Genomic DNA, 26,910 nt, shown 5'->3' on the forward strand with positions numbered 1-26,910 from the left:
AGTGCTGGGATTACAGGCGTAAGCCACCGCGCCTGGCCAACAATAATATTCTTTTTAAAAAAGTCAAATTTTCTCTTTCTGGTTCAGATCGGTTAAATAATAATTTACATATCTTAAGATTCACCTTTTTTAGATGTACAGTGCTATGAGGTTGATAAATGTATACAGTTCTGGAACCAATACCACAAATAAGATATGGAATGTTCATTTCATCTCAAAAAATTTGTTCATGTGGATTTGTATGGTTCTCCTCACAATCACTGATCTCGTTTCTGTCCCATTATTTTTTCAGAATGTCATATCAATGCAATGAGACAGTAGAGAGTCTTTTCTTGTATAGCTTCTTTCACAAGAATACTGTCTTGGGATTTATCCACATAATTAAATCTATCAGAAGTGTGTTTCTTTTTATCACTGATAAATATTTCATCTTATGGAAATACAAGTATTTTTAGGTATTCATCACTTGATATGTACTTAATTTATTTTCATGTTTTTGGCAATGTATTTATCAGGATCCCATCAGAAGAGATGGAGTTTCAATAACTGAATAACAGATTTCAGAAAAATTATGAAAAAAAATTATAGACATGTTAATATAAAAAGTATAATTTTAGTGCATCGGTTTCTAGTTCAAGGGGTCATAAAATCTCAACCAGATTTTAATAAACTATGATAACAGCCTTCAGATGGAAAGCAGGTCACATAAAAAAAAACTGGGAATTAGAATGGCATGGTAATTCTCACAGGAAGCACTAACTACAGAGTCTGAGTAAAAATATTTTTCACCCATCCTATACTCATACATCTTAGAAAATACAGCATCATAAATGGAATATTGGTAGAAATACGAGCATTAAAGGCATGCCTAGTGAGGGTTCATAAAGAAATGAGGAAAATGCTTATTAGAAAGTGGAGGAAAAGTAATCGTTATTATGTAGTAGCAGAAAGCTTGGCGGAATTGTGTCCTACAGTTAGTTATGTGGAAAGCAGAACCTATAGGAAATGAACTTTAATATCTAGCTGAGGGGATTTCCAAGCAATGTGCTGAAGGTAGAGCCTTGTTTCTTCCCATTGCTTACAGTGAAATGTGAGAAAAGAGAGAGATTGACGGAAGCGGTGTTAGGAAAAAGGGAAACAGGACCTGATGACTTGGGAAATTCTCAGCCAATCCAGATTGCAAAGGCACTAAAATTAGGAGATTCATAATCAAGAAAGCCTGTTCTGGACAGAAAGCCAAGGTGTGGCTGGACAACCTTTTGCTAGTACTTTGGAAGGATCAAAGGATCAGAGTATTCAATTACACACATGGCCTTTTGAAAGGATTAGAGCAGTGAATCATGGTTCCCCTCAGCCCTCCAAGCAGAAGCCAGGAATAGAGATGGTATTATAAAAAAAAGATTTGTGGATGAGCCTCTTGTCTAGTGGAGAGAATCCCTGAAACATACAGGGAATATTTGCAAGATTCTTAAGAATGTTGTGCCAACAGACATACTCAATGTCAGCTTGAACTAAAAGGGAGACAGAACAAAAGGAGGGAAGGCTATTGAATTCTCCAAATTCTACATGTAGAAAACAAATTGATAAAACTACTCAGCTGCAAACATGTAGAGTCTCTACAATAGCAGCAGAGCCAGGAAACACAGAGAATGATTCTCAAGCTTTGAAACCTAATGTTGAATGCAAAAACAGATTTTGAAATTGCTCACCTCTGGTGATTCCTTTTGTGAACTGGATATCTATTAGTGTTATCTGATCCCTATCTCACCATAGTATTTTAGGAGGCAATATCATGTTTTATAGTTTCACAGATCTCCCAACGGAGAATAATTTTGCCCCAGAGTGGATAATAGTGAACGCCCTAACCATGACTAATTTAGATAAATTAGATTACAAGATTTGGGCCTTCCATGATAATGAGACCTATATCCTAATTTCTGGAACCTGTGAATATGTTGTGTGTAAAGTACGAGACTCTGGGGATATTAAGTTAAGGATCTGGAGATGGAGAGATTATTCTGGATTATTTGGGTAGACCCAATGTAATCATGAAGGTCCTACAAAAGGGAGGCAGGGGTGTAAGAATCAGAAAAGACCATGTGATTGAAGATTGGAACTGAAAGAGAGAGAGTGATTAGCAGATATTTGCTGTTGGCTTTGAAGATATAAGATAGGCCACTTCTACAAGTCAAGGATGCAGAAAGTATCTAGAAGCTAGAAAAGGCAAGGAAACAAATTTTTCTGTAAAACCTTTAAAAGGAATGCAGTTCTATTGATCAATTTTAGACTTCTAACCTCCAGAACTGCATGATAATGCATTTGTATTATTTTAAGACGTTAAGTTGTGGCTTCCCCTTCCTAACTCCACCCGTACTACCACAGCCACCTTGTCCCTCTCCCATTCTCCTACCTTAGGGTAGAAGGAATAGAGGAAAAATAAACAGAAACCAGAAATTGTAATGCAATATGAAAGATGTGTTTTATGGAGTTTTCAGAAACTTGAAACAATTCAATAGAGGGGTTTATCAGAGTTCTTAGATTGGGGCCCCATTGGTGTCTTTCCTTCATAGGATAGATGTAAACAGGGTGGACACTGGACCACACGGCAGTGTATTAAACTGGTGAGTGTCGTTCGGGGGCTCTATGTCCCATTCTGCAATGTAAGGAACCGCCATGTAAGTAGAAGGTTAAGTAATGCTGTCGGGTTTACCAGTCTGGCTAAAAGTCACAGTAGGAGATCCAGACACAGGTATCCTTCTGGAAAATACTTGAAGAGGAGGCTTTCTCAAAGCAAAAGTCTCCAGGCCAATACAAAGAAATTTGTATTGTTTTAAATCATCAACTTTGTGGTAATATTTTACAATAGCAGTAGGGTGCTAATATATCATCCATACTATTAATCAAGGGTGAAAGCAACATAAAATTACCCTCAGATATAGCTAGATCCCAAAATTCATTTTATGTACTCTTTTTCTAGGAGGATCTTGAAGGACGTGTCTTCCAAACAGAGTATAGTTCCAAAGAAGACATGGTATCCCAGCAACCAAATGTACAACACAGGAGACAGATGAATTTCTCATTCTTGTAGGCTACCATTTCTTTTGGCTTATTACAAAACAACAGGATGCTGCAGCTTTATCAAAGTCTACTTATTTGTCCACTAAAAGTTTATGGCTATACGTTTCCAACTAGAACATCTGAACACCAATATATGGAATTCTGACAAAGTTAAAACCAGGAAGAGATCCTATGAAGGCTGACATTTTGTACATCTGTTTTATAGAACAATAAAAATAAGAAGAACAAGAATAAGAACAGCAACAACATTTGCAGTGAGTCTGCTCTCTATCAATGAGTTAAATTCTTTAACACACACATACGCACACACACACACACAAAATGGGTTTGATATCATTTGGTTATTAATCACATGTATAGATAAGGAAACTAGATTTAGAAAAGTGACATAACATGCCAATGTCATTATATTATTGAAAAAAGAAATTCAATGAGAATTGATGTATTTCTATTTATAATTTAGGGCTATTGTGCCAGCTTCATACTAGAAACCACCAACTCTTATCACACAGGAAAAAAAAATCCAGTTTTACTTAAAGAATAAGGAAAAGACAGAATTAGCCACAAAATCAAATATCCCCATATGCCTAGCTGAAATCTCATTAGTGTCACAATCATTTTAAAAATTTAAAATAAGACCACTCACCTGGAGGTAAAGAGCCAGAGCATATATTTACTTGCCATGAAAAATGTTTTTCTTATACATAGTGCCTAAGAAGTATGGGATTTTATTTCCTTTTTCACAGCTGGAAAGGCTTAGTAACCAATTCACTTTTTTAGTGTAATATCATCTGGTTTTAGGCAGTGCCAGAAAAGAAATGAAAAAACAATTGAGCAAAATATATGGCTTTAAATGAATGTAAACCATGTGCATGGGTTTCATATCAAATTCTGAAATGTTTTTTCAGTTTGAATGTGAAACTATCTAATAAGGACAACATTCTAGCTAGAGATCAATTAACTTATTTGTGATATTGCTTTTATTTAAAAGAGTAAGCAAATATGGACTGGGTGTCTATTATGTACTTGTTTCTATGATACCTTTCATTTATTTTATAATACTAGGACTAACAACAATGCTATAGCATCATTTGAAGCAAGTATCCTGACTTCTGTGGTAGTTGTCTTGAGGGCTTTTTTCCTAACATTTTAAGAGAAAACTGAGTTAGGAAGATGTATTCCATCCAAAATATTTAAGCGAACTGACCTCTATAAGATGATGGATGCCAATAAGCTAATGGATACATTCATTCTCTTTTCAAAGAGACAAAATCTTTTTAAAAACATTTATTACTATTTTGGTGCAATTAGAGAGGCAAAAGTCTAATTACAAGTAAAACTAAGAACACCAGAGTGTTACGTGAAATAGGTTGATTATAATAAAGGTGTTCTGGAAAGTTATAAAAGAGCTGCTGCTTTTGCTTCCAAAGCTCTAAAATATTTAATAAATTAGAAAGAAAACACATTAGTTAAGTGTTAATTTCACTCAATTGTTTATCCTTAATTTCAATTTCCAGGGGGAAATTATTACTTGGTTTACACAGCAGGATTTTTTTTAACCATACAGAAGTTTCAGGAAATTATTTTATAGAAGTAACGTTTCGACTACTAGTGGAAGGTGGCAGGTTGAGGATAGGAATTTACCTCCTTCCCTCCCAATATCCTGTGGAAATGAAGAAAAACTCATTTTAAGGTGTGTAAATCCAAAACATAGTTCTGGAAAGCAAGAAAGAGTGCTATTAATTCATTGCACTAATTTTGAGGACTTTCCAGAGCATAACACTGATATTGGATTAAAGGAGCAACAGAGTAGGAACAGTATAACCCAAAACAAATGCAAGATCATTGTATTGGAGAGAGTCATCCTTCCCATCTCTACTTTAGAGAAACTAAACTCTAAGTCAACATTCACAAAGAACAGGGAATGATCCTAGGGACATTTAAAGGCAGAACCTATAGAAGGTTCTATAAAGGCTTCCATAAAGTCTATAGAAGAATTTAGCCTAATGTAACTCCCCGTCCTGATCACCGGCTATACAGATGAGTGAGATATTCTTTTGTCAACTGCTTTACTGACCTCTTCCCATATACCCAAGCTTTATATTAGAGTTCCACAGTGCTAGGTAATGTGCTGTTTATTATTCTCTATCATCTCTCCAACTTGATTTAAACTTTCTGTATTGCTTAAGTATCATCTATCTCTTGAAGACTTCCATTTTTCAAGTTTCCAACTCATAGCTAGATTTGAAGTCTGATTGCCTACTGACATGCCTACTTTGATGTTTCAGGGCTTCTGTAGTGACTACTCATTGGTCAGGGTTCATTCACCCATTTTGTAGTAACAATTCATCAATCACCCTTCAGAGAATCAGTAGTTTTCCAATCTTCCCATGTTGTTCAAATTAGGTTGATTTCTTTTCTGCTCCAAGCATCAACCTATGTTCCAGATTTAGTCAATCACATGAATCAGTTCTGATCAATGAGAGACAAATAAGTGGTTTTTGCAAAAGATATTTAAAAAAAAGAAAACATTACTGGGGTGGACAAGGTGAAAATAATATAAGCATGGATTTTAAAGGGCACATGCATGCACACACACATACGAGGACACATATAGAGACACAGGGCCCAGTGTAGAGGGACAAAGACAAAATTGTTACAAAACAATTTGAACCTCATCTTCTAATGTCTTCCTCACATTATCACATTTTTGTCACCTTTGAGATGTTGCCATGTAGTTGGATTTCTCTTTACCAGGAATGCTCTGTGATCTTGGTCTTTGCCTAGCTGTTTCCTTCTCAAACTTCAGGACTCAGTTTAAATACTAACTCAAGAGAGATTTTGCTCAACTATCACTCAAAATGGCACCATCAACATTCTCTATAAAGGCTAGAAGATGTGGCTGCTATATCACTGTGTAGTGGTTTCATTCATTTGTTTATTTTTATTATCTGTCTTTTCCCTTGAAATTCAAGCTCCGAGTCAGTAGGCACCAAGTCTGTGCTGTTCCCTGTTATAGTCCTAGAAGCTAGATTAGTGACTGGCACCTAGTGTGCTCACTAAATTTTTTTCTTTTTTTTTTTTGAGATGGAGTTTTGCTCTTGTTGCCCAGGCTGGAGTGCAATGGCGCCACCTCGGCTTAGATGTCAGCCTCCCGAGTAGCTGATTCTCCTGTGTCAGCCTCCCGAGTAGCTGGGATTACAAGCATGTGCCACCATGCCTCAGCTAATTTTGTACTTTTAGTAGAGATGCGGTTTCTCCATGTTGGTCAGACTGGTCTCAAACTCCTGACCTCAGGTGATCGGTCCACCTCGGCCTCCCAAAGTGCTGGGATGGGATTACAGGCATGAGCCATCATGCCTGGCCTCACTAAATATTTTCTAATGAATGAATTAATTAATTAATGAATAAAAACAAAAATTGTATAACTACCAAAACTTCAGAAGTTGAAGAAAGAGTCCTGAAATTATAAGTACACTAAATTCCTCATCTTATATAAAAAGGACTTAATAAATATTGCATAAAATTGGTAAATTTAAAAAGGAAGGTATAATTATATCAATGTTAGGATAGCAAATAGCAGAATAATTTATACTGAAACTTAACAGGCTTCCTTTCAAATGTAGAACTTGATTAATCATAGTGTTAGTCTGCATAGTTTGGTATTTTTTTAATATGTGTGACTAAGGGTGAAGGTAAAGGAAGGAGGCTTTTAAAATTAATTAGATATGCCTCTGCTTTATTTATTGACTTTTTCACATGTATTTACTTTTTTCACATGTATTTACTACTCTAAATTACAACAATCTTCATATCAATTTAGTTTAATTCATAGAATAAATTCAACTCAGCACTAAAATCTGAAGTATTCCCTATACTATAAACTGATAAGCTTGTTTGTTTTATAACATAAATGAAAATTACTTAAAATATCTTACTAAAATTTTAATAAAAATTCATAGAAGTTGGATAATAAATCAGTATAAAGTACAGCCATGTATTTTATGTCACTGTTTTCAAGACACTAGCATATCTAAGGATGATCAATACTTTGGTCCTGCTCTAAGGAAGAAGAAAAACAGAAAAAAGCTGACATTCATTTAGAAGCTACCTGTATGTGGCCCTCTGCTATGTCCTTGTCCTTCATAAATTCACACAACAACCCTGAGAGAAGATTTTGTAGTGAAAGGGACATTCAGATATTGGGAAACTACTCTAAGTTTCTACAGTTAAACATGTAACAAAACTAGGTTTCACTTTTTTTTTTTTTCTGGCCTATTCTATTTCCCTATAACATATTGTTTTTATTACAAAAACATGAACATTTTGAAAATTTGTATTTAAAAGCGTAAGATGCTTACTTTAAGGTTTATTTTCATTTTATGCTATTTCTATTTGTCATTTAAATATGTGATGTTTCTTTATACCTATGTTGCCCTAACATAAAGTATATTTTGGAGAAAATACGTTATATATTTATGGAGGTAGGCAGGTATGTATGTGTTTATCCAATTTATTTGGAGTGAAGTTGAGCACATTCCTTAGTATTTTTTTTTTCAGTGAAAAATGTAGGACTATCTTCAATGGTAAAAAGTGAAGAAAAACATTAGTGGTTTTTGAAACACAATGTTTCAACAAACATGTAAGTGAAATGTACTTCGGGCAATGAGATTTGTTGATTGTGTGATATAGACAGATATTTGTGAAGATGGATTTGGCTTTGGTAAAGGGAAATTAATTTATAATATTTAAAATAGAGTTATTACAACTGATTATTACAAAATAATTTGACTTTTTACTTATGCCAACACTCAGATTCTGAAGAAAGCTCAGCAACATTGTGCAATATCAATTCTTTCCTACTCTTTGCATAAATAACATTTTTTCCATGTGCAGGAAATTTGCAAATTTCCAAATGGAGGATTTGAATATACTCATACTCCACTAACTAAAAACAGTTATATGTTTTTCATGAGCCCTATAGCAATTCTTATATTGGAAGATGCATATTGACCAGTGATGGTTTGGCTCTGTGTCCCTACCCAAATCTCATCTTGAATTGTAATCACCATGCGTTGAGGGAGGGACATGTAATCCCCATGTGTGGAGGGAGGGTGTTGATTAAATCACCGGGGCAGTTTCCCCCATGCTGCTCTCATGATAGTGTGTGAGGTCTCAGGAGATCTGATGGTTTTATCAGTTTCTTGCATTCCCCTCTTACAATTCTATCTCCTGCTGCCATATGAAGGAGGTCCTTGCTTCCCTTTGCCTTCTGCCATAATTGCGAGTTTCCTGCAGCCTCCCCAGCTATGTGGAGCTGTGAGTCAATTAAACTTCCCTCCTTTATAAATTACCTAGTCTCTGGTGTGAGAATGAACTAATACAACCACATAATCAAAAAGTCAAATCTGAAGGTCATGTTGAAAGAGATGCCACGGATTGTTTACCAAAAGCAAAAGAAAGGTAAAAATTAATCTGTCTGCTTCATGTATTTGTCCCCTAAGAGTGATATGGCTTTGAGATTTCCTCAATGAAAACATCCATGTCATACTAATAAGGAAAAGTTATGTCTGAGTAAATTTAAATTATTATGTTTATTTAAATATTCAGATAACATTACTTTATATCACTAGTTAATATCATTCAAAGTTTATTGATATTTAATTTCATATGGGATTGTCTTCAATAATTTGGAAAACTCTTCCAAATTTGACAATCTTCAAGTCTAAAGTTAGAGGTAAAGCAAATATGCGTGTAACTATGTAAAAATTATTTGAAAGCTAGTGTGTGTGTGTGTGCGTGTATATTTGAATCATGAGGTTCTTTGACACTTACCTTTTACAAAAAAATTTGTATTATTTAGTTTTTAGTTCAGATTCTGGGATTGAAGACTTCAGAATACTTACATTGAGCATGCTAGGTAATTATCCTTTATGTTAGAGATATGGGTTGGAAGTCAGAAAAAAAAAACAGGGAGAGTAGAGGACAACATGTTCATTCAGCTCATGTTCTCTCTTTATAAATAAGCAATTGAATACTAAGTACCTTACAAATTACTTCTATTGTTTGCATCCTGTTTTAGTCTGTTCTCACCCTGCTATTAAAAACATACCCAAGACTGGGTAATTTATAAAGGAAAGAGGTTTAATTGACTCATAGTTCCACATGGCTGGGGAGACCTCACAATCATGGTGGAAAGCGAATGAAGAGCAAAGTCATGTCTTACACAGCCGCAGGCAAGAGAGCTTGCGCAGGTGAACTCCCATGTATAAAACCATCAGATCTTGTGAGACTTATTCACTATCAGGAGAACAGTATGGGGGAGACTCCCCCATGATTCAATTATCTCCACCTGGCCCCACCCTTGACATGTGGAGATTATTACCATTCAATGTGAGATTTGGATGGGGACACAGAGCCAAACCATATTAGGTGTTCAAAGTAAATAAGCCCTGAGAAACTCAAATAAAACCATTGATTAACATTAAGTACTTGTTATTGAAACAAAACACACAGCTATCCTTTTATAATTAAGTAAATATTTAATGTCTGTGTTTATGTAGAAATATACACTATGTTGTAAATTTATGTGCAGGATTTTTTTTTAATTCTTCAATTAATTTTATGCCTGAAATTTCAAATCATAGTTTTAAAGCTGAAATAGGTAAATAGGTGCTGAAATTCATTATGTTGATTTATGCTGAGTACATGTCCCAGTTGCCAACTATTGCATGACAAATAAAAGCAAACTTAGTGCTGTAAAGAATGACTACTTTATTGTGTACCCAGATTCTGTAGGTCAAGAATTCAGTGTGCCAGCAGGAATGGCTTGTTTCTGATTCATGGTATCTGGTGACTTAACAGGCAAGATTTCAATTGCTAGGAGTAACTGCAACCTAGAATCATCTGGATACTTTTTCATATACATGTCTGACAAAACCAGATTGGGAGGATTCAAAGACCAGGCTCAGGTGGGGCTGTCAACTGAGGATCTACCCTGGCTCCTGTCACAATTCCATGTGATGTGAACCTCACTGAAGCATGTCACATTACAATAGTTGGTCTTTCTATATGGAAGCTTAAGGCTCTACTGTGATCAGAATGTTTGTACCCCCTCATAATTCATATGCTGAAATTCTCACCTTCAAGGTGATGGTTAGGATGTGGGCCTTTGGGAAACTGATGAGGTCATGAAAGAGGAGCCCTCATAAATGGGATTTGTGCCTCTTTTCCCCTTCCCCCATGTAAGGATATAGCAACAGGGCACCATCTATGAAAAAAGAAACAGGCCCTCAACAGACAAAATCTGTTGGCATCTTGATTTTGGACTTTCCAGCCTCTATAAACATGAGGAATACATTTCTGTTGTTTATAAGCTGCCCAGTTTATGTTATTTTGTTATAGAAGCCTGAATGGACTAAGACAGGCTTCTGAATGAAATGTTTCAATGAATACAGCAGAAGTTTCATGGCATTTTATGACATAGCTTAGGAAGTCAAATAGTATCTTCTGCTATATTTTATTGGTTATGACAGTCAATTCAAAGGAGAAGGATACATCCCTATGTCTTGCTGGAAGATTATCAAAGAATTTGTGGCCATGTTTTAAAATCACTAGAGTCGGCCTTCTGTTCACAAATGATTTGCATTTCCTCCACATGCAAATTCACTTCTTTCCGAAACCCTCCCTCCTAAAGTCTCATTTCATTCCAGTATCATCAGGTTCAGACTCAAGGTTCAAAATCTCAATCTCAATCAAGTCCAGGTGTCCATAATACTTCCCAGGTATAATTGCTCTTGATGCACAAAAAAAATGAAGTATCTTCCTCTCCTCACACCCAGCGTACAATGGTGAGAGAATCAAGGACAATGTAAAAGAAAAGACCTATCAGAATAATTGCATTTAATGTAAAGTTATTCAGTTATTTCTGCCATATGCAAATTCCAATGATTATATTTTAATATGACCAATTTTGAAATGTAATTTTAAGTATTTCATACTTACAGATATCTACTCATCATCAGCATTGGCACATTATCAATAAGATGTCATTATTTCAAAGTGGCAAAGGAAGATATTTTAAAACTGTATTCAATTTCCCAGAAACAAAAAGATGAAGACAAAAGCTAGATGATCAAACAGTTTTAAAAATATTGCCAATAGCTTAACAATATAAGACATGTGTGGAAGGGAAAACTTGCTGAAGCTTGAATTGTGTCTTCTGGGAAATAAAAGGGGCAATGACTAATTGCCACAGGATATTGGCAATTGCAGATGCCAGGTTGTTTCACAAAAATAGGAAAAAAATAAAACTACCAATCTCAGATACTTTACTTCACAAACTAAGAGCCAATTCCTTTGATCTTAAATATTATAATAATCACAATGTATCCCAAGGTAAAGAAAATAATACTATGCAGTGATCATGGAAGGATAAAAATATTAGTAGGTATATGCTACGACACAAAGCCTTTGGTAGAAAACATTCTAATCTGGAAATCAATGACACAATGGCAAAATATTGCAATTCTGAGCAGGAAATAAAGAAATGCTTTTTATTGTTCTTTAGTTCCAGAAATAATAACAATAGAAATAGGGTGATTATGTGGATTAAGTCAATCAAGATTTTTTTCTAGTCAGATTGTATAAGTACTTGAACTATACAGAAATTAAAATACAAGGAAGACAAAACTTCATGGCCTGGAGTCTGTGAGAATCCTCTATTGACTCAAGTCCGGTGTTTGAATTAAACAAATCCCATCTGTTCCAGTTCTACTATCTTGAAGTCAATAAATTTTTATTCTAATATTTAAAGTTACAATATCAGACTCCATTTGATAATACCAGTATGTTTAAACTCTGGCCCATTTCCAACATTTTACATTACTCCATTGCTGTACTTACAACATCTGACTTGAGTACAACTATCTGATTTGGCTTGGTGTATATTTCACTGGTGTACTCACCTGCTCCCTTGATGATTCTAATAACACGGTCTCCAAAGAATGGACAGAAATTCCTGGAGAAAACAGTGTGCTCCTAAAAATTAAGTAGAATTTTCTTCCGGGTATTGCCCTGGCAAAAGGAGGTAAGAGAGGGGATTCCCTGACAGTGTACAGGAATTTCCACTGCATTTCCTCAGAAGTGCAGGGAAATCAGAAACTTCTAACAGTCATTCAAGAGTAGAGATAATTAAGGGGAATATAATAATTTACCAATTTTAAAAAGAGACATATTATATGGTTCATAGGACCTAGTAGTAATCAAGTTTAAAAAATCAGTACATAAATAACTTGAATATATCTACTTATATGTTATCTATCTATCTATCTATCTATCTATCTATCTATCTATCTATCTATCTATGTAAACTTTATAATACCAGAGAACAGAAACTGATTTGTTTTTTATTAGTTTGTTTTCCCCCCGGAAACATTAATGGCATTGGAATGTACTCTGGTTTAGGCAACTAAGATGTTTCTGAAAAGGAATTGCTTAAATGAAATTACAGTAAATTATTTATTAAAGAGAAATTTAAAACAAGTTATATTCTATAAGTAAATAATTCAGGTCTCATATGATGGTTTTAAAACAATATTTCGTTTTGTGTCTTAGGTTTTCTGGTAGTAAAACAATTTGATTAGATAGACGATAGACAGGTAGTTATCATTAAACAGCACAGTATTTCAAATAAAGTTCCCCACAGTGAATATTAGCAGATTTTACCATATTATAAATTTTTCAAACATAATTATATGAACATTAAAACTAAAGATTATAAAGTGACAAGTATTGTAGTTCATGAAATTCTTTCCAGAACATGCCTGACTAGACAATAAGCACACACACTAAATATTCACTGTTGTAACTTAAGATGATAGCTTGTACACAAAAACATTGAAGAGTTTTGAGATAATTTTGAAAATACCTAAATAAGCAATATTTACATATTATGGCTCAGGGAATAGATATTAACAAAAATTATCCTCTCTCAGGCCACTGTCTAGACCACAGGAAACCTGGTCAACAACATATGGGATGTCACCAGATTCAGACTCAGAAGTTTCCATAATGCCGTTGCCAACAGCTAGACACAGTGAGTCATGGGGGCCCCAGTAACCAAACTCTCATCACACACAGGCTGTTTAGATAGTGATGGAACTAACATGAAATAAAATCAGGCCAAATAACATCTTAAGGTTCTAAAGAAATATTTTAGATTCAACAGATCTTCTAAATTCAGCAGTATCCAGAAAGTTTTGCCAGAGCAAGAGAAGTATAATAAATTAGAAACAAGTTACTTTCCGCAACTCAGGTTGCTTTGAAAAAGAAATTATTACAAGAAAAGGATTTAATCTAGACAGTTACAGGTAGTCACATCCATGTCAATATTTATATCTCTGTCTATATAGTAAGCTTGATATCTGTGTACATCAGTGAATAATAGTACCTACCTCAAATGAAATTAAATAAAAAACAAATGAGATACCACAATTGAAGTTGATTAGCATGTTAGTTGTGTAAACAGTCACATGTGAGCACAAGTGTGCACACACTACTTTTATTGGGTCCTTATATTTCTTGGAAAAAAATTACATTTATATTTACCAGAGGAGCAGAGTTATAAAACATAGCAATATGCTATTCCACATACAACAATAAGCATGTCTTGGAAGGCAAGCTAGATCAAAAACTGACGTATAAGATGGAGTTTAGAAATCAACTGTAATTATATGTCTGGAAAATTCATGCACTTTAGGGAAATCTAGCTCCTGCCAGCTTTATTTGTATGCTGTGATTTATCTTAAAGTAACGTCATGCCTCATGCCAGTGACTGATTCAACACATAACATTCTACAAGTCACAGGAGTCCATTCAGGAAGGAACGATATGTGACTCACTCACTATCATGAGAACAGCAAGAGGGAATAATCACCATAATCAGCACCTCCCACCAGACCCCTCCTCCAATTCCACATGGAGGAAGAATTTGGGCAGGGACATAAATCCAAACCATATCAACCGTGCTTTTACATAACCTACCTTTGTCACCCAGATTTTCAGTAAAACTTTCCCTCATTCATCACCAATGTGTTCAAGGCACTTCAGGGAGAAAAGTATTTCAATATATTATTTAGAAAGGGAAGAATAAGTTCAAAATACATGAACCTGATATGGATACTGGTCAGGAGAAAACAAACCCACTGGACAAACTTGGAAAGACAGGGGAGGTTTTTTGCACATGAGTGGGGACAATGTTTCATGACTCGGATGAGCTGATGAGTTGGATGATGTTTCACGAGTTGGATGAGTAGGGAATAAACATAGCAGATCTAAGGAAACAGGAACACACTGCACATACAGTGTATGTGTAATTATGCACATACAGCAGCTGTAAAATGTAGTCTATCCAGTGGGAAATAAGATTCTTTAAATGTAAATATTCTCTAAAAGGCACGTTACTTACCTGAAGTTTTTCTGATTTGAACATGTATGTTCTTAGTTGCAAGTATTGGTTGAGTCACATAGTTCATGTATAAGTGTATATAAGGGGTGTGAAATGGGGATATAATAAACATAAGAAATGTATATAAATACTCTTCTCTATATGATAAAACTAAACATATTCCAATATACAATTCTTATGTACATCTAATATGGAAACAGTACAACAAAGATAATATAATATAGTCCACTCACTACTCACCAAAGAGATGGTGAGAATCCTAATCTAGAAGAACCAATAGAAAAATAATAGTGCGTTATGCTCATCTTCTCTTTTTCGTATTATGTCCTCTGCTAATTCTTAAACTTTATAGCACTATCATTACATGTAATCTGCACATTTTATAGTTTTTACTATAACTTACAGTTTGATTTTAGAGTTGAAAGGCACATAAATCATTTTAAGTAGAGTATTTACACAGATTTTATTTCTACCTACTATGAAGTGCAAAATGCCAATAGCATACTTTCCTGACTAACCGGGGGTAGCTTTTCTTTTATTCTTTGTCCCTGGAAATCACTCAGACACTGGTGTTCCATGAAGTACCTAGTTAGGGAGTGTACCTAGTTAGGGACTGTTCTCATGCTGCTAATAAAGATATAATTGAGAATGGGAAATTTATAAAGAAAAAGAGGTTTAATGGACTCACAGTTTCACATGGCTGAGGTGGCCTCAATCATGGCGGAAAATGAAGGAGGAGCAAAGGCACATCTTACATGGCAGCAAAGAGAGCATGTGCAAGGGAATTTCCCTTTATAAAATCATCAGATCTCATGAGACTTAATCACTATCACAAGAACAGCATGGGAAAAACCTCCCCATGATTCAATTACCTCCTACTGGGTCCCTCCTACAACAGGTACCATCTTCAGTTAAAATACCTACATTAACCAGCCACATTCCCTCTGAACAAGGGCTTAAACTTAGAAAAATATGATGACAAGTAGGACTGCACTGCAAGCAAGAAAAATAAAATATGATTTCTAACTTTTCCATTCCTTCGTGTTGGAAATAAAAAAATAATAAATCATTGTTACTGATGCCAGATTTTGTGTAAAGAGTTAATGCTTATGTGAATCAAAATAGATTTATAAACCTTTCAACACTGCAGCTTGGCCTTAGAACCTTTCCTGAGATACCTCCTTTTTTTTGTGAAAGCAGATGGCACACATATATGCAAATTAAAAATAGACTTTGGTTATAAAACAAAAAAATAAGATTCAACAAGCTCAACTTAAATTATTAGCTCAGCACAGGCGAGTCCAACAGTAGCTATCATTAAATTCAGACCGGCCCACCATTGTAAGAAAGACAGTAATAGTTATGCAGTATCTGCAAGGCATTTTGAATCCATTACATAAAAATGTGTGCTTGGAATACTATGCTATAGTAAGCATTATGAGACTATGCCCACTTTTACCCTGAGGAGTGTAATTAAGTGCAATGCTCAAATGAATGGTTTGCAGTGACATGTATTATCCTCCTAAGCTGGCTCAAAAGAAGCTCTGAGTCTGTGCTATAGCACTCACTTCTACCTATCTTTAACATGTATTATGTTCCCTTAAGCCTCTGGGAACGATTCAATGAAAATGTGTTGCTTGCCTCAGTTCACATTATCTTATGGCAGCCACAAACCTTAGACTATTTTTACACAGATTCTCAGTTTTCCTAGTTGAAATATAAGACTATTAAAATGAGAAGAAACTAATTGAATACAGCAGATCATTTTATGTAAGTGTTTGAAGCTGCCTCAATTTGACTTCTGCACAGTTACTACTTTAAGGAGTAAGCTGAGAACATGAAATTGCATGTCTTCAAACAGTCTAATGACATCTATAATTCCATAATAGTTTGACCAAAATCACTGCCGGATATATAGCACAAAATTAATCTCATACAATGAGGGTATGTTGACATTTTCAGGTCGACCTGGGCTAATGAACTTCTTGCATTATTTGATGTGGAGTTTCCAATTGAATACGATAAATTTGGGGATGAAAATTGTTACTGAAACATCAAAGATATTCCTTTATAAAAGTGAACTCATATCAGACCTACTCAGAAACCCAGTTAATTTATAAGAATGTATAAATCCTACATAGGTGTTAAATGGAGACTAGGAAGGGTGGAGTGAGAGGAGAGTGAATGATAAGAAATTACCTAAGGGGTACAATGTATGTTATTCAGGTAATGGATGCATTAAAGCCCTGATTTTACCACTATGCAATAATCCATAAATTAAAATTATACTTGTACCTCATAAATTTATACAAAAAACAATGTTATAGGCCACGAGCAACATCAGTGAAATAAGTAACAATTTTAAATCCCAAGTTTTTTCAGCATTTCAACTAATATTTATGGAGTTTGCAAATATTGTAATATATTTGTTTAAAAGTTTAGATTAATTTATATAAAAATATATCTTCTATGATAACATTTACTCTCTGAAGATTATGAGTTTAGGAAAGTAAAATATGGATAAGAACAACCATGTGATAAAAATCTGGACTATTAAAAAAATAAGAAAAAATTACAGTACCAAATCTATTTTTCTGGTACAAATAACTTGATTATAATTTACTTCCAACACAGTAAAATAGTAATATAAGGGAAAGATGCTTTACTTTTGAAGTTCAGGCATCTTTATTTAAAGTTCATTAAAATTTCTCATATGCTTCCAGAATGTATTATATTTACAAGTAACCTTGTGCCCAAACGTCTAGTTAAATATTGCTACTGTTTCACTATTTTTTTTCCTTGGGTTTTATTAAAATGACTGTCTTTATCGTTTTTCATAAATATGTGTAATCCTTTCCTGCTAGAGCATTATAGTGTTCATGCAGTTGAACTCAAATGGCAAGCTAGCTTTATACAATAAAGTGTGAATGGAAATGACAAGCTCGCCTTATTCCTGTGAATTGACACCTGCCATTGTTCCAGAGAGAGTACTCTATCTGTGTTCTTGAGTGGAGATGATGAAGATTAGAACTATACCTGAGTTGTGATGAACATGGAAAGTGATTTGGAGAGTTGCACTTTTCTTGGTATGAGCCAGTTACTTGGACATCATGGGCAAATGATTTCTCTGTTCATTTTCTGTCATTTCCAACCCCAGCTGCTGTTTTCCAGATATTTCTCAAGTTTTCTTGTCCTGCTGATGTTATATTTTTTTTCCAGAAACCTGAGCCTGAGAATTTGCTTATGGATTGTATATGATGCCAGGAAATGGAATAGAGGACTGGGAAGAGTGAGAGAAGGAAGAGAAGCCAGGAGGAGAGTATGTTACGAGCTGTGAATAATTGGGACTTGATTCCACTGAGCTCCTTTGAAGTATCTGAGAATTTGACTGCAGAATTGTGAACCTGAAAATCACAGAAAAGAGAATATTTATCTATTGAACCTTCTCTTCATCTTGCATTGGTCAAGAGTTGTCCTACGGGATATTAAGACACTTGCACTTTCAAGTTTGCAGAAGTATGGGAACGAAAGCATCCAAAAAGCCCTGAGGCAGGAAGCAAGCTGAGACAAGGTGTTGGTGATGATGGTACACCTGGATGAAGCTAACTTCAGCAGCAATAGTTGCTGAATGAATTTTTCATTTCATCTAAGTTGCCACATTCATCAGCATAAAATTGTTAATGATATTCTTTTAGAACTTGGAGGGTGGTAGGAGAGAGAGGAGCAGAAAAAAATAACTATTGGATATGAGCCTTAATACCTGGGTTTTGACATAATCTGTACAACAAACCTCCATGAAACAAGTTTACCTATATAACAAACCTTCACATGCACCCCCAAATCTAAAATAAAAGTTGAAGCAACAAAACAAACTAAGAATTTCTATTTCTTCTCTTGCACGCCTGATATTGGCAATGTGTCTTCTCATCATATTTTTCTTGATCCAAGTTTGCAAGAGATAGTTTTGTCAACCTTTTCATATAATTCACTTTTTACTTTGTTAATTTCTTAAATTATATCTCCATTTTCTTTTTTATTTATGTATTCTTTTAGTATTCTTTCCTATGCCTTTTGGTTTGATTTCTTCTGTTTTCCTAAGCTGTGAATCAGGAAGATTCAATTATTTGCTTTCAGCAATTCTACTTCTATAGTATTATAAGAGTGATTATATATATAATAAGTTGATGTATAAAATAATATTTAATATTTAAATAATGTATATATACAAAAGAATTATAGAGCTATTAATTCCATCTAAATGCTTTATTAGCTGTGTCTCACAAATTTTATGTCATGTTTCTATTAATATTCATTTTCAATTCCCCTCATGATTTCTTTTTTGATAAATGTGTTAATTAAAAGGGTGTTGTTTAATGTCCAAATATGTGAGACTTTTCTGATTGTATTGTTTTATTTATTTTTGATTCAATCCCATCATGTTTAAATATTATTAGTACCAGTAAAATACTCTGTATAATTTCGATGTCTTAAAATTTATTGAACCTTTATGTGTCTTTATAGAGTCTACCCTGGTAAATCCGTTACTTGCACCTTGGAATAATATATACTCTGCCCTTGTTGACTGAGGTACTGTATAAACATCAATGAAATCAAAATAGTTGATGATATTTAATGTATCATTTAGACCTTTAAAATGTTGGTGATTTTTCTTTAGTTGTTTTATCCATTGTTGAGAAAGAGGTACTAATGTCTTCAATTATAATTATCAAACTATCTCTACTTTTAATTCTGTCCATTTTTCCTTCATGCCACTGAAAGCTCTGATATATTGAATTCATAGATGTTCATGGTGCTATGCCTTCCTGATGAGTAAACTGATATCATTGTGAAATTTCCCTTTTTATTTTTGGTAATAACTAATTTCTTGAAATGTTTCTTTAAAATGTAACTACTCCGATATTCTTATGCTTAAAGCTTGCATTAAAAATATTTTTCTATTCACTTACTTTCAACCTACATTTTTCTTTAAAATAAAACATACTATTTTTAGATAGCAGAAAACTTGGTGTTGTTTTTCAATTCGTTCTGAAAATACGAATTTTACTTGGATTAATTCATTAACAATTAATGTAACTACTGATATGGTTATGTTGTGGGTGGTTTCCTACGTTTTCTGCTTTTTTCTCTGTCTTAACTTGGTTCTTTTTTCTTTTTTCTTTTCTTTTCTTCTTCTTTTTTTTTTTTGATGGAGTTTTGCTCTGTCTCCTAGGCTGGAGTGCAATGGCAAGATCTCGGCTCACAGCAACCTTCACATCCCGGGTTCAAGTGATTCTCCTGCCTCAGCCTCCCGAGTAGCTGGGATTACAGGCACATGCCACCATGTCCGGCTAATTTTTTGTATCTTTAGTACAGACGGGGTTTCACCATGTTGGCCAGGCTGGTCTCAAATTCCTGACCTCGTGATCCGCCCGCCTCGGCCTCCCAAGGTGCTGGGATTACAGGTGTAAGCCACCACGCCTGGCCAGAAAAACATCCTTTTCATCTACTCAGATAGTTACCGATTCAGATTTTTTTTCCTCTATTTTGAGAATACATCTTTTCTGTGCTATCATTTTCTTTCAGCCTACAGAAATTCCCTTAACATTTCTTGTAGTGCAAATATGCTGGTGATAATGTACCCTTAATTCTTTTATCTGACAATATTTATATTTCACCTTCATTATTGAAAGATGTTTTGCTGAGTATAGAATTCTGGGTTGATAATTTGTGTGTGTGTATATATATACATATATATATGTAGCTTGTATATATATACATATTATATATATTAGAAGATAAAAATGTCTTACAGCATTGAAAAGCTATATGTATATATAGTTCAAAATGTATTTGAAATTAAGTATATGTATATATATATATATATATATATATATATATATATATATATAGCTTTTCAACACTGTAAGACGTTGTTTCTGTCTTCTGTTCGTAATGTTCTGGAGTAATGCATAAAAACATACATACACATCCTTGTGTATGCAATATCTGATTATGCAGAATTCTGAGAAGTTCAAATATATATAGCTTTTCTACACTGTAATACATTGTTTCTATCTTCTCTTCACAAATTCGGGTAAGAAATTAGCTATTAATTGGAATCTTGTCTCCTATATGTAACATGTTGATTTTATCTTGTCACTTTCAGGATATATACTTTATCTTTGGCTTTCAAATATTTGACAGCAATGCACCTAACTTCGAGCTTATTTTCTTTTTTTTTTTCTACTTGATATCCATCAAGCATATTATATCTGCAAATGTATATCTATCATCAAACTTGGAAAATATAAAAGTTTCTTAAATAATTTTTTCTCAATTTTCTTTTTTCTACTATTATAATTACACATTTGTTGCACTGAGATCAAGATAATCAAACAAGCCCCTAAGTCTCTGTTCATCTTTTTAAATTTTTTTCTTACTGTTTTACATCTTATATAATTTTAGTTGATTTATCTTACTTTACTCTGTCATGCTTATTCAGTTATCAATTCCAATCTAGGAAAATTCCTTTACTTTAGAAATTTGATTTTTAGTTCTAGAAAAACTAATTAATTCCTTTTTATTGTTTATTTTTCCCCATTTGGCATACCTATTGTGCCACAGAACCAATTTCCAGGATGAAGCAGAAAACCAGAAATATTTACAAAAGGAACTTTGAGAGAAAAAACAAAATGCATTTTTACAAAGGTGGTTATGTAATATTCATGGATATTTTTGCCATATATTTGGCTATCATAACTTAGGGCAACTTGAATGTATTAGTAAAATATTATGGAAATGCTATGGTACTTTTGTTACTAGGTAACATAGTTCACTAACATAAGTATTGTTAACTCTTGGAAAGTGGCCATGTTATGAGTGTATGCTCAATTATCTAATTTGTAAAGAATCTTAATTAAAAAGGAACTTAGGGGAGTGTTCCATAGATATTTTTAATGCCATCATGGGACTACTGAACTAATTTTACTGCTATCATAGTATTATGGAAAGGTACAGAATTGTAACTAGAAAAGGTAGAAAAGTGTTTATGTAAGTACTTAAGTGATGTTCACATAATGAAACCTCACATACATATTAGACATTAGCAACAGATAAAGTATAGCAATATTTCATGTGTTTCTTAGAAAACAGTGACGTTAAGATTAGGTTGATATATACTTATTGTTAAATTGAAGGATTTTAACTATCAAAATACCTTAATAATAAAAATAATATTGTGATTTGATTGTGTAAAAACATTTTTGGTCTTACGTTAGATAAACTGGTAATGTTCTGGAATAATGCATGAAAACATACATACACATCCTTGTGTCTATACAGAACAGTGCGTACAAACAGCATTTTACCTGATAAGTGATCTCATTTTCCTCAACCTAGAAGTAAGCCACAACACTTCTGTGTAGCCTTCGTAGAATTGTCATAGGTTAAAGCTGCTGCACATTGATCACAGAAGGATATCTCAGATATGTATGCAGTATCTGATTATGCAGAATTCTGAGAGGTTCAAAATATATTTGAAATACAGTATTTAGAAGGAGTGGGATTCTAAAGTGAACTTGTCCACGATTTCAGTTAAGACAGCAAAAATAACACAGTATAACCATACGTACAATAACACAATCATAGCTCAAAAACAAAAATGAGAGCCATAAAGATGAAAAGACAAAATCATTGTAGACAGGAAAGGCTATTCTGTCAATCTAGTTCCCAATTCTTCTTCTTTTCTTTTCTTTTTAAAAAAATATTAAATTGACTAATAAAACATACATTTATTATGTACAACATGTTGTTTTGAAATATATATATATAGTGAAATGGCTAAATTTAGCTAATTAATAAATGAATTACCTCACACACATTTTTGTGGTGAAAATATTTAAAATCTATTCTTTCAGCAATTTTCAAGAATATAATACATTATTATGAACTACAGTCACCATGTTGTACAATAGAAGTTTCTAATTATTTTCTACAAAATTTTATTTTTCTTTACATCATTGAGTTTTACTTTTATTTTCTTTATTTCACTCAACTTTTAAGGATTCCCTACTTTCCTTCTTTGATTTCTGGTCTACAATGCAATAAAGAACATTTTCCCATTAGTACAAAATAAAGATAAATTATGATAATCATTATTATAATAATATATAAGTCAGGCTTCTTCTACAGCAAATAATTAAGATTCATCTTGACTAAATTAATACCCCATCACCAAAAAGTTTTGTTTGTGTTTGTTGGGGAAGCAGTTGATTGATTTCATTAACTTAGAGGATCAGAGAGTCAATTTCAGTTATAGCTCTTTCTAATAACTCAACTGATATCAGAAAATCCCTACTCAGCTCTCCATTTAAAAAAAAAATTTTTTTTGTTAAATTTTATTTTTGTACTAAAACTACCATGAGTTCAATATATTTGTTTTTCCTTTTTTCTTCAAGTTTCATTCAGCATAGGGAAGGTATCAGTACCCATCTCCAGACTTACAAAATAACTGGTCTATGATCTTGGCAAGTCTTTCATCTGTCATTGGAAAATTCATGAAAAACTCTATTTAAACTTGCTTCTGTTACCTGCCTAATCTTCTAACATTTATTGTGACCCTGGTCTCATCATACCCTGCCAAGGCTTCGGTCATGAGCTTAACCCTTATAGAAGGAGTGAGATACTGGACAGGTTCAACCCCACCAAAGGCACATAGAAAGGATGTTCACAGGAAAGGTTTTCTCTGATACCAAAGGAGAGGATGCATGGGATAAAACAAGAGATTTCTACCCTAAATTATGATAATAAAAATATATTCCCTTTTAAAAAATATAAATGAATCCTAAAACTAATGAAGTGAATCATATTTAAAGCAAAATGAAAAGATTGGATTTGCACGTTATTTAATGCTAAGAAAATTACTTTTTTATAAATATGTTCTATGTTCTTGGGTTCAGCATCGAGATGCCTTTGCTGAACAATACTTATTGGTGCCTTAAAGTCCATGAAAAGTTTTTAAACTTAGTTTCAAATTTTAGAATAAACCTTTCCTTACATTCTCTTTTTTCATTTTTTTAACATTTTAGTCCAAAATCAGATGGCCTTTTATATGACAACATCTTCAACTGGCAAAAAAAAAATCATATTTTCATAAGTAGACAATTCAAATTATTCAAAGCAGTATTAATTTTATCTGACATCTTATGTTAGAAAATGTATTAGGATGAATTATAATGTGGTAGAAAGGAAAAAGTTGTCATAATATGCAACAGTATTTTTAATTGGACACTTACAAATGTTTTTAAAAATTATATTAAAATGGAATGTTAGAACAGGCTACATTAAGTTTCAGTAACAAATGACTTCCAAATCTCAGTATTGTAGTTCTATTATTTTTTTCACTTATATAAAGTGTTTGTTCAAGCCATTCTGCAGGGAAACTTTTCTTCATGGGTTGACTTAGCCTTTGACATTGCTTCAATCTTATAGAAACTGCATATTAATATGTAGTTTACCTATTGCCATTTTAGAGAAAGAGAGCACTAGAGAGTTCTAGCAATAAAATTATTATACTCACTTGTCATTTACTTACGTGTAATTAGCCAAGATATTACACTCCCATACCTCCCTTGAAAGAGGTAAGGGTTCTATTCTAATATGACATAAAAGGTGAAGAAAACCAGACTTTTTAAAGCGGATTTGTGTGAGAAATAAAAAGCTTTTTATGTATGTGTGTGTATATATTTATATATATCTTCTATCTCTATATTTTCTTACCAATTTGTGTGTATCTGTGTGTGTATTTATATACAAACACCATTGTAAAATGTATTCTTAATTATATACTACTAGTAGCAGGTATGCTAAAGGCAGTACTACATGTGTTTTCACCTATTAACCATTAATATTGGCCTGAATCTGCTAGTTAGTGTAATTTTCACAAAACAAAATAAATGTTTAAATGTGAATACTTGAAATAAAGACCTACTAGCATTTTTGCAAACACTTGATTTGCATGCCTGGAAATAAGGCAATTAAATGAAAACTTTTAAGAAAGAGTGCATATTCACTAACCGGGACAGTTAAAAATTAATATATTTTGTAGAAACCCTGAGCACTTGTTGCCCCCCACAAAGACAGCCAAAACAATAAATGCAAAAGTACATGCTGATGAAAATAACTAAAGGAAAGCTTACAGTACATAAAACGAGTAACAAAAACCCTGGTGGGCATAGGAAATCAGTATGGCCACATGGAGAATGGAAGAAAACACTTGGACTGCACCACACCATTCCCCAGCCTGGATCAGCTGGGAACCAGGAGAAACCTCTCTTGGGGAAATGTGGGGAAAAGGTAAGCAAAGAGAATCCCAGCAGCCCCCATCAACACCTGGGGAGCCTCCAATCCTCATCACTGGGGATATCTGCAGTCCTCACAGACACTAAGCTTAGCTGAAAGAACTGCTTGAAGTCCACATAACTGTGCTTCCCCCAGAGAAGGAGCTGATCCTGTGACCTGTGTGTCTACCGCACTGTGCCGTCTTGGAACTGGAACTATTTTGTTCTGGGGGGCTAGTGGCCATGGCACCCTTTCATCCCTGAGGCGAAGCTGCCGCCAAACCACCCTTCCTGGTGACTCTACATTCCCAAGCCAAGCTGTGAGCCACTGTTACACATTGCGCCATGGAGCCAAGCAGAGTCGAACTGCTCCACCAACTCCTACCAGTCAGAGCTGCATTCCAGGCCCTCAGATCTGAGCTAAAGCTGTGCATTTCCTCCTGTGCTTTGGCAGAGCTGTTTCATCCACCTCACCCATTTGCTGCTGTACCCTGCGACATTGTGCTGGAGCTGAAGCAATGACTGGCATCCCAAGAAACAATGCCTATGCTGCCCAGAGAATCACAAACCCCAGAACATAACAAAAAAGGAAACTATAGGCCAATATTACTGATGAATACAGATGCAACAAATTCTCAAAAAATACTAGTAAGTTGAATCCAGCAGCATGTTAAAAAGATCATCCACCATGATCCTGAATGACTACTGGGTACATAACGAAATGAAGGCAGAAATAAAGATGTTCTTTGAAACCAACGAGAACAAACACACAACATACCAGTATCTCTGGGACACATTTAAAGCAGTGTGTAGAGGGAAATTTATAGCACTAAATGCCCACAAGAGAAAGCAGGAAAGATCTAAAATTGACACTCTAATATCACAATTAAAAGAACTAGAGAAACAAGAGCAAACACATTCAAAAGCTAGCAGAAGGCAAGAAATAACTAAGATCAGAGCAGAACTGAAGGAAATAGAGACACAAAAAACCCTTCAAAAAATCAATGAATCCAGGAGCTGGTTTTTTGAAAAGATCAACAAAATTGACAGACTGCTAGCAAGACAAATAAGAAAGGAGAGAAGAATCAAATAGACACAATAAAAAATGATAAAGGGGATATCACCACCAATCCCACAGAAATGCTAACTACCATCAGAGAATACTGTAAACACCTCTATGCAAATAAACTAGAAAATCTAGAAGAAATGGATACATTCTTCGACATATACACCCTCCCAAGACTAAACCAGGAAGAAGTTGAATCTCTGAATAGACCAATAATAGGCTCTGAAATTGAGGCAATAAATAATAGCCTACCAACCAAAAAAAGTCCAGGACCAGACGGATTCACAGCCGACTTCTATCAGAGGTACAAGGAGGAGCTGGTACCATTCCTTCTGAAACTATTCCAATTAATAGAAAAAGAGGGAATCCTCCCTAACTCATTTTATGAGGCCAGCATCATCCTGATACCAAAGCCGGGCAGAGACACAACAAAAAAAAGAGAATTTTAGACCAATATCCCTGATGAACATCGATGCAAAAATCCTCAATAAAATACTGGCAAAACGAATCCAGCAGCACATCAAAAAGCTTATCCACCATGATCAAGTGGGCTTCATCCCTGGGATGCAAGGCTGGTTCAACATACAAAAATCAATAAACGTAATCCAGCATATAAACAGAACCAACGACAAAAACCACATGATTATCTCAATAGATGCAGAAAAGGCCTTCGACAAAATTCAACAGCCCTTCATGCTAAAAACTCTCAATAAATTAGGTATTGATGGAATGTATCTCTAAATAATAAGAGCTATTTATGACAAACCCACAGCCAATGACTTACTGAATGGGCAAAACTTGGAAGCATTCCCTTTGAAAACTGGCACAAGACAGTGATGCCCTCTCTCACCACTCCTATTCAACATAGTGTTGGAAGTTCTGGCCAGGGCAATCAGGCAGGAGAAAGAAATAAAGGGCATTCAATTAGGAAAAGAGGAAGTCAAATTGTCCCTGTTTGCAGA

General features: G+C 34.2%; 1 long non-coding RNA gene across 4 annotated transcripts in view; it reads left to right on the plus strand.

Moving 5' to 3' along the window:
- The first annotated feature begins 3,026 nt into the window (after window positions 1-3,026).
- Window positions 3,027-26,910, plus strand: part of LINC01673 (long intergenic non-protein coding RNA 1673) — a 36,413-nt gene continuing 12,529 nt past the window's right edge. For 2 of the 4 annotated variants that reach the window (NR_183538.1, NR_183539.1), the window contains exons 1-2: window positions 3,027-3,332; window positions 13,074-13,174. This is a non-coding gene — a long non-coding RNA (long intergenic non-protein coding RNA 1673). Of the gene's footprint in view, window positions 3,333-13,073; window positions 13,175-17,527; window positions 17,632-17,764; window positions 18,409-26,910 lie in introns of those variants that run through there. The other 2 variants (NR_183537.1, NR_183536.1) reach the window with 2 other exon arrangements.

Source organism: Homo sapiens, chromosome 21 (assembly GCF_000001405.40).
Source record: "Homo sapiens chromosome 21, GRCh38.p14 Primary Assembly".
In the NCBI taxonomy this organism is placed as follows: domain Eukaryota; kingdom Metazoa; phylum Chordata; class Mammalia; order Primates; family Hominidae; genus Homo; species Homo sapiens.